Genomic DNA, 12684 nt, shown 5'->3' on the forward strand with positions numbered 1-12684 from the left:
TCAGCCTCCCAAAGTGCCGGGAACATAGGTGTGAGCCACTGCGCTGGGCCCAGTTATACACTCGTTTATTACAGATTACCACATGCCTCTTTGACTTATTATGGTCTAACACAAATTATTACTTTTAGTTCTTAGTTGATAATGCAGAACCCTAGAACATATTAACTCTGTTTACATCCTCCTGCTTTTTGCCTTATTGATGTCAGGCATTTTCATTTTACATATATTTTAAATTCCACACACACTACTACTATTATTTTGTACACTCAATTTTAATTTATATTAGCCACATACTTACCATTTCTGTTGCTCTTCATGCTTTCCCACAGCTCCATGCATACATCTGGGATTACTTTCCTTATGCCTATAGAACTTTTTTTGGTATTTATTCTGATGCAGCCCTGCTGATGATGAAGTTTTTCAGCCTTCAATTTGTATATGTCTCAAAACATCCTTATTTGGCCAGGCACAGTGGCTCATGCCTTTAATCCCAGCACTTTGGGAGGCTGAGGCGAGTGGATCACCTGAGGTCAGGAGTTTGAGAACAGCCAGGCCAACATGGCAAAACCCCATTTCTACTAAAAATACAAATATTAGCTGGGCATGGTGGTGGGTGCCTGTAATCCCAGCTACTCAGGAGGCTGAGGCAGGAGAATCTCTTGAACTCCGGAGGCGGAGGTTTCAGTGAGCCGGGATTGCGCCACTGCACTCCAGCCTGGATGACCAGAGTGAAACTCTGTCTCAAAAAAAAAAAAAAAAAAAAAATCCTTATTCAATCTTCAGTTTTGAAGAATATTGTGCTTGGCATAGAAATCTAAATTGGTAGTTGTTTTCTTTCAGCCATTTGATTATGTCATTTCATTTTTTTCTGTCTTCTATCATTTTTGTTGAAAAGTCAACTGTCAGGCACATATAGTCAAACAGGTGAAAACCAAAGACAAAATAAAATCCTAAAAGGACCCAGAATACAAATGACTGAATTCCTCCAAAGGAGCAACTGTAAGGCTAAGTCTGTTTTTCTGATTATTTATCTTTATTGGTAGTAAGTGTTCTTGGGGCTCACTGCTGGGGTTCACTGAGCTTCTAAATCTGTGGATTGGTGGTGTTTGTTTGTCTGTTTTGAGACAAAGTCTCACTCTGTCGCCAGGCTGGAGTTCAGTGGCGTGATCTCAGCTCACTGCAACCTCTGCCTCCTGGGTTCAAGCGATTCTTCTGCCTCAGCCTCCCGAGTAGCTGGACTACAGGCGTGTGTCACCACACCCTGTTAATTTTTGTATTTTTAGTAGAGACGAGGTCTTATCATGTTGGCCAGGATGGTCTCGATCTCTTGACCTCATGATCCGCCCACCTTGGCCTCCCAAAGTGCTGGGATTACAGGTGTGAGCCACTAAGCCCAGCCTGGTGTTTTTTTTTTTGTTGTTTTTTTTTTTTTAATCAGGATTGAAAATTCTTGACCAAAAGATTTTCAAATATTATTTCAAACTCATTCTCTTTTTTTACTTCTGAGTCTCTAATTTGCATGTATGTTAGACCTTTAGACTGTATCTGAATTTATCTTAATGTATTTTTTTCCATGTGATTTAGTGTGGAATATTTCTATAGATTCATCTTCCAGTTCAGTAAACCTGTCTTCAGCTATAATCAAAACACTGTTAACACATCTATCGAGTTCTTAATTTCAGATAGTATATTTTTCATCTGTAGAATGCTCATTTGATTTTTAATAGGTTCCTTTAATTATCCATTTTTTATTAAAATTGTTTTCATTTATTTTCTTGACTATATTAATCATAGATACTTTAGAGCCTTTATCTGCTGACTCTAAGGGTGATATGGATCACCTATGTGTCTATTTATTGCTACTTTTTCTCTTGGTTATCTGTCACATGATTTTCAAATGAGTAATGATTTGTATTGAATTCTGGACATGTACATAAAAATTGTAGTGGCTTCTAAAGATGCCATTTACCAACAAAGAATTCCACCTTTTCCTTTACTAGACAGAGTAGGGGCCAATTCCATTAATCTAATAATGAATGAGCTGTATTAAGCTAGTGTCACATTTTTAGTAAGACTTAATTTACCATGAATTTTCTCTTATTCCTGGGATGTGACTCCTGAAGGCCTTCAATGGAAGCCCCGGAGGGTTTCATATCTCACCATGGAGAGACAGTGGAAAATTTCACTCTACTTTTCAGAGGATTTTGCCTTAGTTCCCAGATAGTAAACCATGACCAACTCTCATTTTGTTGGATGTATATTCTTAATAAATTATTTTATAATGAGAAAGAGATGGGGAAGAATTTTCTTCTTTGAGTTATATTTTTCTTTTAGAGTAGATTTATTATCATCTCTAGTTTGCCAGCTTCCTTTCTTTAATTCCTTTATTTTCTGAATGTAGTACTTTTATCAAGTTGCCATACTGTTTATTTCTTTGTACCTCATAGAAGCAGTGGGCTGTTGTGTCTAGATTCTAGAACAGTGGTTCTCAACTTAGGGTAATTTTGTCCCTAGACAACATTTGGTAATGTCTGAAGACATTTTTGGTGTCTCAACTGTGGTGGTGGGGGTGTTGCTACTGGCATCTAGTAGGTACAGATTAGGGATACTACTAAATATTCTACAAGTCATAGGACACCCCCTTCCTTCCCCACATAAATATACACTCAAAAGAATTATCTGGCCCCAAATGTCAAGTGCTCAATTTGAGAAACCCTGTTCTAGGGCCTTCTGTTTATATGATGTATTACATGGAGAAATTGTTCTTATTACTATTCCCATATTAGACACCTATTTGCCTTCCTCTAAGAACAAACACTTTAAAGCTGAATGCTGAGTTCTATTCAATATTGAGGACACTGAAATGGAGAGTTCTTTTGTCACTACATTCACCTGTTACCAAGTCATCTGGGCTTTGCTCTATTTTCTGAGATTTCTTATACCCAGGAAGCCTCCACCTGATTGAAGCAGGCTTCAGATCACCTCCATAATTCAGGTCACTTCCCTAATTCAGCATGGACATAGAAAATGGTGACCCCTGGCAGTTCTTTCTGCCTTTGCTGACATACTGTGGGTGCTGTTGGCCTCTCTCCTGGGTTTCTTTGACTTTTCCCTGGGCTGTCTACTGGCTACCTCAGTTTATTTCTCTCCTAAGTGGGAGTTATTAAGGAATACTGGATCAAATTCCCTAATTTCTCTGTCTTGCTTAATGGGAAAAGGCAGGGGTAGGTTTAAGAGGTTAGAGGTAAAGTCTCCTGTTAGGTTCCTTGAGCAATGCTTTTTTTTCTTTTTTTTTGAGACGGAGTCTCGCTCTGTTGCCCAGGCTGGAGTGCAGTGGCGCGATCTCGGCTCACTGCAAGCTCCGCCTCCCGGGCTCACGCCATTCTCCTGCCTCAGCCTCCGGAGTAGCTGGGACTACAGGCGCCCACCACCACGCCCGGAGAATTTTTTTTGTTTTTTTAGTGGAGACGGGGTTTCACCGTGTTAGCCAGGATGGTCTCGATCTCCTGACCTCGTGATCCACCCGCCTCGGCCTCCCAAAGTGCTGGGATTACAGGCGTGAGCCACTGCGCCCGGCCGAGCAATGCTTTTTAAGGCTTATGACACAACGTTGTACTTCTTCCCTTGCTTTGTGGCTACAAGTGAAATTTTTGCCTCTTTCTCACTGTCTTTTGAAGATTTTGTCAGATAGTGAGGAAAGGAAACTTTTGTGTCCAGCCTGTCATTTTTATCCCAAATATTTTTACCATAGTAGTAGGTATTAAAATATTCCAGACCCAGCATTTTATTACACTAATATTACCTTATTGTTGATCTTAGATGGCTCTAAAATTAGGCCGACCAGGAAGCACTAGGTCTGGGAATTTACCCATGGATAACAGTGACAGGAGGCTATAAGCAAGGAACCATGATCACGTGGAAAGTTTATGTTTGTTTATTTGAGACAGGGTCTCACTCTGTCACCCAATCTGAAGTGCAGTGGCACAATCATAGCTTACTGCAGGTTTGAATTCCTGGGTTCAAGTGATCTTCCCACCTTAGCCTCTCAAGTAGCTAGGACTACAGACGCGCACCACGATGCCTGGTTGTTTGTTTGTTTGTTTCTTTCTTTCTTTCTTTCTTTCTTTCCTTCCTTCCTTCCTTCCTTCCTTCCTTCCTTCCTTCCTTCCTTCTTTCTTTCTTTCTTTCTTTCTTTCTTTCTTTCTTTCTTTCTTTCCTTCTTTCCTTCTTTCCTTCTTTTCTTTCTTTCTTTTGAGACGTGGTCTCACTATGTTGCCCAGGCTGGTCTTGAACCCCTGGGCTCAAGTGATCCTCCTGCCTCAGCCTCCAAAATTATTGGGATTACAGGCATGAACCACCGTGCCTGGCCTAATATTTTTTTTACTTTTTGTGGAGGTGAGAACTCACTATGTTGCTGTGGAGGAAAAGTTAAATATTAAATTTGAATTCAATTGAACATGGACACAAACAATGGTCACCAAGTCCCAGAATAGGTTGTGTGAGCCCCTTGAGGCATTCATCCAGCACTGTTTCGGAGAAATCTCTACTTCAATCTATTCCGATACATTAGTTATTGAAAAACAATAGACAATCACAAAAACAGGTTGACCTTTTTGTGTTCCTTGAGCCCAGTCATGAAGAACCCTCGTGACGGGGCCTCATGCCAACAACTTGTTACAAAAAGAGTTAGGGTCCCAGACTGCGCCGAAGCTTCATGAGACCTCTCATCATCTGTACATGGACGAGTGGCCGACTTTGGAGCCCAGGCTATTGCTTCCCAGTCTGGTGGTGAATCCTCCATAGTCTGGTGAATGTAAATATCTTTTCCCTTCTCCTCTTCCTATTGCGATTTGCTAATTATATCAATCTGCTTATTATATCATTTGCTTATTATATCTGCATTGCCATTTACATGGGATAAAGGTTGTTTACCCTTAAAGGTATTGTGCGTGTGTCTTTTCTTCTCCCCTTGCGCGTTTCCTACACAGAACAGTTGCCTAGGCTGAACTTGAACTTCTGGCCTCAAGCAGTCTTCCTGCCTTGGCCTCTTAAAGTGCTGGGATTACAAATGCGAGCCACCATGCCTGGCTGGAAGTTTTTTAGAAGAGGCTTGTAAATACCACCTAACTAGGAAGAAATGGGAGAACTCAACCTAGAAATAGACAAGTCAGATGGGATTCTGCCCAATAAGTCAGGCAAATCAGGGCGAGAAATAGGGTCTTGAGGGTTTGACCCTCAGATCATAGTTGCTCGGGAGATTGCTCTCCTCACATACCTGTAATCAGTTTTCCTTCCTTTGGAGCACATGACACCTCTTCCTCTAATCCAGTTTACTTCCTCTTTTTTTTTTTTTTTTTTTTTGAGATGGAGTCTTGCTCTGTCACCCAGGCTGGAGTGCAGTGGTGCAATCTCTGCTCACTGCAACTTCTGTCACCGAGGTTCAAGTGATTCTCCTGCCTCAGCCTCCCCAGTAAGCTGGGATTACAGGTGCCTGCCACCACACCCGGCTAATTTTTGTATTTTTAGTAGAGACTATGTTTCACCATGTTGGCCAGGTTGGTTTCGAACTCATGGCCTCAAGTGATCCACCTGCCTCAGCCTCCCAAAGTGCTGGGATTACAGGTGTAAGCCACCACGCCCAGCCCTAGTTTACTTCTCAGCCCATTCCAGTCTAATTCTACCTAGCTTTCTTAGCTATTTATAGAACAAGAACACTGGCTTAGAGGAAGGGGAGAGATGTCTAAGTTTTCTTGCAAGTCCAGCTTTCCTACTCTGCTCCTAATTAGGTTTTCTGTTTCTATGGCTGTGACTTCTCTATCTCCAGCTTGCTGTGTTTACTTCTCCCAAGCAACAGCTCGGTATACTTACTTCTCAAATATAGGTTTCAAAACACATGGAGGAATCCACAAACCTCTGTGCATCAGAGTCCAATTTTCCTGCCCTCAGAAAGGCACACAGCTGTATACACAGCATGTTTTGATCACTGGCAAGAGCTTTCTACCTGCCAAACACTTAAATTCATTAACAGTCATTTACTGAGAAGGGCAGGATGTACAGCACCGTTTGTCAATAGCCACAGTCTTCCCATCTTCTCACCACCCTAGGAAAGAAGCCTGAGGAGGGAGATTTCTCACACAGACGACCCCTGTCAAGAGCCAAAATACCTTGGCAAGAAGAAGCCAAAAAAACACTCCACTCCCTATAAGTTCTGCATTTGGAGCTTCTCTGCAGTTTGCTAGACTGAGTAAATAGAGCTAGCAGCCAAAAATAAATATCTATTTTTCACAGCCAGAAGAGGGACAACTCCACAAGTGTTCATCTGTATCTGCCTTTGGCTCACTGGTTTTATTCCATAGCTTTGGTTCATGAGCGAACATCGCGCTGGCCTAATGCAGGTGGAAACACTTCTGGAGGTGCGGGCCTAGGGAGGAGAGGTGAAGAGCAGGAAACGCATCAGCACTTTTTCTTCTAAGCGCTCATGTCCCCAGAAGGCTCTGAAAATTTCAAGAAATTCTGTGAATTTCTCAATCTGTGGTCATCGCTATATAAGCGGCCACAAATTAAAGGGGAAGTAATTTTGCAATTAGATGTTTCTTGAAGTTCAAGTGACTAACCCACTTAAGGTAGGCTGAGGAGATTTGGCCATATCAGATGGTCAGACCCAAAATATCCACGATCTGGTTTCTAAAATTAGGAAACTGACCCTGACACTCCCGCAGATTTGTTTAAGGTGTTTGAATGTTTTTCAGCAAATTGGTCAATTTGGCAAACTGGCTTTTGAAGAAATTACTTTCAGAGATATGACAGAGCCCACTTTTCTCCTTGACACTGGATCCTTATTACCTACTCGGACCCTTAGTATGACCCCATCCTGGGGTCTGACTCAGCCAAACCACACCAACTCTTAGTCTACTTCTCAGGCGTCTGACCTCAGCCGTACAGCTGGCCAAAGACACCTACCTTAGAGCCATTTATTAACTTGCTTGCCATGCCTTAAGCCCTTGTAACTCTTTATCCATAGCTGTCATTCTTGGTCTCTCTGAAGCATGCTCTCTTTCTTAAAGCTCACCGTTGTTCTGAATTCCATTACCACTTTCTCTGACTCACTCTTCCAAATCAAGGCTCCTATCCTCTGGCTGAGTAAGCTGGGAGGAGGCCTCTGCTGTCGCAGTGGGAGGCCTCCAGGGTCATCCTGACTCATCCTCTCCTTATTTTGCTTTGTTGGTATCTATCTCTGTGCTGCTTTCACTCACAAAACTTATGACATCAAATGCGTGCTATCTTTTCCAACATCACTTCACCAAATTTCCAACACCAGCTGGGTATTCTACAATTCAATTCAATTCTAATACTATTTACCTGGAATTAGCTTCAGATCCCAAAAGTTAATGAAGTGTAACCAAATGCAGTTTCGGCCACTTGCCGCTTGCAAAGTCAAATAACAAGGGCAAGGAGTGGTGGAAGGAAAGTGACTTTATTCCAGAGCTAGCAGTGGGAAAATGGCCAAGCTTTGTGCCTTAAAGAAACCATTTCAGGTAGGGCTTAGTGACTCACGCCTGTAATCCCAGCACTTTGGAAGGCCAAGGCAGGCGGATTGCTTTAGCCCAGGAGTTTGAGACAAGCCTGGGCAACATGGTGAAATTCCATCTCTACAAAAAATACAAAAATTAGCCAGGTGTGGTGGCATGAGCCTGTAGGCCCAGCTACTTGGGAGGCTGAGGGAGAAAGATCGCTTGAACCTGGGAGGTTGAGGCTTCATCAGAGAGAGGCCCTATCTCAAAAAAAGAAAAAAATCAAATTTTGAACAGAATGCAACGGGTTAAAAAGCGAAGCTTGCTATGGGTGGAGTGGGGGGCGGGGGACAGGCATGCTGAAGGGGCTAGAAGGTATGAGTCTGGTATTTTTTAGTCTTTTTTTTTTTTTTTTTTGAGACGGAGTCTCGCTCTGTTGCCCAGGCTGGAGTGCAATGGCTTGATCCCAGCTCACCACAACCTCCACCTCCCGGGTTCAAGCGATTCTCTAGCCTCAGCCTCCCCGGTAGCTGGGATTACAGGCACCCACCACCATGCCCGGCTAATTTTTCTATTTTTAGTAAAGATAGGGTTTCACCATGTTGGCCAAGCTGGTTTCGAACTCCTGACCTCAAGTGATCTGCCTGCCTCAGCCTCCCAAAGTGCTAAGATTACAGGCGTGAACCACCATACCCGGCCGGCCGAAAGTGTGAGTCTGTTACAGGACTTGCTCTGATGACTTATCTTGGATTATTGCCCCCTATTGTGGTGGAATGGGCTTGTGCCATTTCCACCACAATAGGGTTGTAAATTCACTGCAACCTTGAGGTAATCTCCTGGTGGGGGAGAATTCAGTAGGTGACTGGATTGTTTTAAGATTCAGTTCCTGGAATTTATAAGCAAGCATATCATTTGATAAGGGGGACACTGTGCTTGGTGGAAAGAAAGAGGGCAAAGGTTACCATTTTATTCTTAAGAAATTAAACACTGGCCGGGTGCAGTGGCTCATGCCTATAATCCCAGCACTTTGGGAGGCCAAGGGGGCGTGGATCACTTGAGGTTGGGAGTTTGAGACCAGCCTGGCCAACGTGGTGAAACCCTGTCTCTACTAAAAATACAAAAATTAGCCCGGCGTGATGGCACGCATTTGTAATCTCAGCTACTTGGGAGGCTAAGGCAGGAGAATAGCTTGAACCCGGGAGGTGGGGGTTGCAGTGAGCCGAGATCGTGCCACTGCACTCCAGCCTGGGTGACAGGGCAAGGCTCTGTCTCAAAAAAAAAAAAAAAAAAAGTTAAACATACAGTAAGCAAGGAGGGAAATGGAAATAAAAAGAGAGAAAGAAAAAAAATTTAAATAGGATAATTTGGTGGCAGGATCAGTCCAACAAGACTACTACCACTTCAGATGCCAGCCACAAATTCCAGATTGTCACTGGTACTTCTCTCCATCTGGCTACAAATTTGTGGGTTTCCACAGCCTCCTCCTGAGCTTTGATAATCTGCTAGAACAACTCACAGAACTCAGGAAAGTGCTTTACTTGCCATTACTTATTTATTATGAGGGATACAACAAGTAAACAGAGGAGATGCAGAGGACAAGGTAGGGATTTGGAGCTTCCATGCGCTCTAGGCACACCATTCTCCCAGCACCTCATGGTATTCACCAACCCAGAACTTTTCTAAACCCTAATGTTTAGTGGTTTTAATGAAGGTTTCATTAAGTAGGCACAATGGATTAAATAATTGGTCATTAGTGACTAACCCAGTCTCCACCTTCTCCTTCCTGCCTGGAGGTTGGAGTGCTGGCCTAAAAATTCCAACCATCTAACATGCCTAATCATGGTCTTTCTGGTGACCAGCTCCCACCCTAACACTATCTAGGTGCCCCCAGTTGCCAGTCATCTCATTAGCACATAAAATATGCTAGTAGGCTGGGGGCAGTGGCTCATGCCTATAATCTTAGCACAGGGGGAGGCCAAGGTGGGAGGATTGCTTGAGCCTGGAAGATCAAGACCAGCCTCCTCAACATAGTGAGAACCTCACCTCTAAAATCTTTTTTTTTTTAGACAGAGTCTTGCTCTGTCATCCAGGCTGGAGTACAGTGGCATGATCTCGGCTCACTACAACCTCTGCCTCCTGGGTTCAAGCGATTCTCTTGCCTCACCCTCCCAAGTAGCTGGGACTACAGGTGCGTACCACCACACCTGGCTAATTTTTGTATCTTTTTTTTTTTTAGTAGAGAACAGGTTTCACTGTGTTTGCCAGGATGGTCTCAATCTCCTGACCTCAAGTGATCCACCTGCCTTGGCCTCCCAAAGAGCTGGGATTACAGGCATGAGCCACCACGCCTGGCCATTTTTTTTTTTTTAATTAGCTGAGCGTGGTGGTGCGCACCTATAGTCCCAGCTACTTGGGCGGCTGAGGTGGGAGAATTGCTTGAGCCTGTAAGGTTGAGGCTGCAGTGAGCTCTGGTTGTGCTACTGTACTCCAGCATGGGCAACAGAGCAAGACCCTGTTTCAAAAAAAAAAAAAAAGCTAGTATCATTCCAAGGGATTCCAAAGGTTTTAGTTTAGGAGCTGTGTACCAGGAACAAAGACTAAATTTTCTTTTTAGTATATCATAGTATCCTGCAAAAACTAACAAACTCATCACCTGCTAAATTTCTGAAACTGGGGATATATACACAACACTCTATTTAAAAGGGCAGTTGTCTTCTCTGGGTTTCTGGATCTGATAACATACAACCAGTTATCGCATATCAACATACCAAATTGCTTAAAATTGTATGTTATTTAGTTTTACATAAACTAAAATGTGCCATCCCTTTGCTCCAGCATCTCCAGGGATAATCCCTATGCCACCCTCAGGCTGGCACTCCATGACCTGATCCCTCCTGTGCCCTGACTAGGAGTGGGCAGCTAACCCACACTGACCCACTTGACCTCTCACACATGCATTTGAATTGAGGGACACAGAGACCAGGAACTGGAAGCTGCATGCTATTAACAGCAGAGCTCTAACGAGAAGATCCCCAAACTCATGCATCAAGGTCCCTTTCCTCCCTGAATCCTGCTTATTTAACTTTTGCTTAGACTTCATAAGATCTGGTGCTCCATTTCAGACTTGTACTACTCTAGGCGTTGTTTGCAGCAAACATAAAAGAGATATGTACTTCAATGTGGCAGATTCATTGGTTATCTCTTCCTTGCTGTTTTTCCCAACAGAGGTTAGAAAACATCAATATTCTATTTCTCTGCTTCTCTTGCCTTTAAGGGTGCCAGAGTTCTGGTCAAGGACACATACATAGAAGTCTTTGGAAGAAGTTTAGGGAAAGGATTTTTATGATAAATGAGTCAGGTGCAGCTGGTATGCCTTTTCACCTTATTCTTGATTTGAACTAAGATGTAATAGTAGGAGCCTCAGCACCCACCTTGAAGCTATGTGGGAAAGGCCAGCAGAATGGTAGAGGTGCTGTCCCTGACACTGTGGAGCTGCTGAACCAATGCCAGTAACCACCCACCTCCAGATTTCTTGATATGAGAGGGAAAAAATGTTTGAGCCACTGTGAGTTAGGTTCTCCATTCTCCATTGCCTGCTGCTGAAATGAAGAGTTCAAAAGCAATTCCTCCATTAAGACTGATTGCCCTCGTGCAAAGAAATACTTCCTGCTATGTAAGCAGTAACTCAAAAAGTAAAATTCACTAATTCTATGCTGCCTGCAATTATTTCTTAATCACTCCACATGCACTTCCACAAATTGAACTTCTTAATCATGGGAACTAAATCATCTACCTTATTTAAAATTTCCACAATCCCTGAGCAGGCTGGACAATTGGAAAAATGCTTTTAAAATTCTTTCCATAGCCACTAGGGCTCCAAATAAAGTACATCCCCAGAGTCAGTAAACAGTTTTAGAAAGTAGTACCTTTGGAACTAAACAAACCAAAAAAAAACCCCTGTGATTCACTACAGGCAGAAGAGTTTCACGCTGAGAGAGACCTTATAAATGTGTGGTTGCAGATAATAGTGTTTCATGTATAAAAGCAAGGATAAAGCCACTTGGCAAAAGATAAAATTGTATTTACACCTCATACCACAAGAATAGACTACAAAGGGATCAGAAATGTTAATGTAAAGAATGAAATCAAACAAGAACTAAAAGAAAACACAGATAAATTTTGTATAACTTAGGTGTGGTGAAAGGCTAAGTATAACTCAAAATGTAGATGCAATAAAGGAAATACTGCATTTTTTTTTTTTTGAGACGAAATCTGTCTCTGTCACCCAGGCTGGAGTGCAGTGGCACGATCTTGGCTCACCACAAGGTCCACCTCCTGGGTTCACACCATTCTCCTGCCTCAGCCTCCCGAGTAGCTGGGACTACAGGCGCCCGCCACCACGGCTGGCTAATTTTTTGTATTTTTAGTAGAGACAGGGTTTCACCGTGTTACCCAAGATGGTCTCGATCTCCTGACCTTGTGATCCGCCCGCCTCAGCCTACTAAAGTGCTGGGATTACAGGCGTGAGCCACCACGCCTGGCCAAGGAAATACTACATTTTTTTAAAACCACAAGTTTTTGCATGGCAAACACCACCATAAATAAGCAAAGTCAAAAAACAACTGACAAACTGGAAGAAATATTTGCAAAATACATCACAACAACAAGCAAATCTCAAATGTAATAGCATATAGCAAGTAACAGTGACACAGATTAGAGCAACTCTGTAGGCAAGTAAGAATGTATATTAACACTTACCCAGCTCTCATTCATTTTAGTATTTATTTTATTTATTTTAATTTTAATTTTAATTTTAATTTTTTGAGATGGAGTCTTGCTCTGTGCTCACTGCAACTTCCGCTTTCCTGGTTCAAGTAATTCTTGTGCCTCAGCCTCCTGAGTGGCTAGGATTACAGGCACCCGCCACCATACGTGGCTAATTTTTATATTTTTAGTAGAGATGGAGGTTTCACCACGTTGGCCAGGCTGGTCTTGAACTCCTGACCTCAAGTGATCTGCCCGGTTTGACCTCCCAAAGTACTGGGATTACAGGTATGAGCCACCATGCCTGGCCACCACTTTAGGATTTAATAGTGAAATATTAAAGGCAGAAATATTGGAATACTTAACTATTTACGATAGACTCCTTCCAATAGTCAGGGAGTTTCCAACT

General features: G+C 42.8%; 1 long non-coding RNA gene across 2 annotated transcripts in view; it reads right to left on the bottom strand.

The window, feature by feature from the left end:
• Positions 1-7141, bottom strand: part of LOC124901007 (uncharacterized) — a 46598-nt gene extending 39457 nt beyond the window's left edge. The window contains exons 1-2 of one of the 2 annotated variants that reach the window (XR_007058825.1): positions 6961-7141; positions 6315-6494 (exon numbers count right to left, since the gene is read on the bottom strand). This is a non-coding gene — a long non-coding RNA (uncharacterized LOC124901007). Of the gene's footprint in view, positions 1-6314; positions 6495-6960 lie in introns of those variants that run through there. The other variant, XR_007058824.1, reaches the window with a different exon arrangement.
• Between the last annotated feature and the right edge of the window lie 5543 nt (positions 7142-12684).

This window comes from Homo sapiens, chromosome 5, assembly GCF_000001405.40.
Source record: "Homo sapiens chromosome 5, GRCh38.p14 Primary Assembly".
NCBI classification, from domain to species: Eukaryota; Metazoa; Chordata; class Mammalia; order Primates; family Hominidae; genus Homo; species Homo sapiens.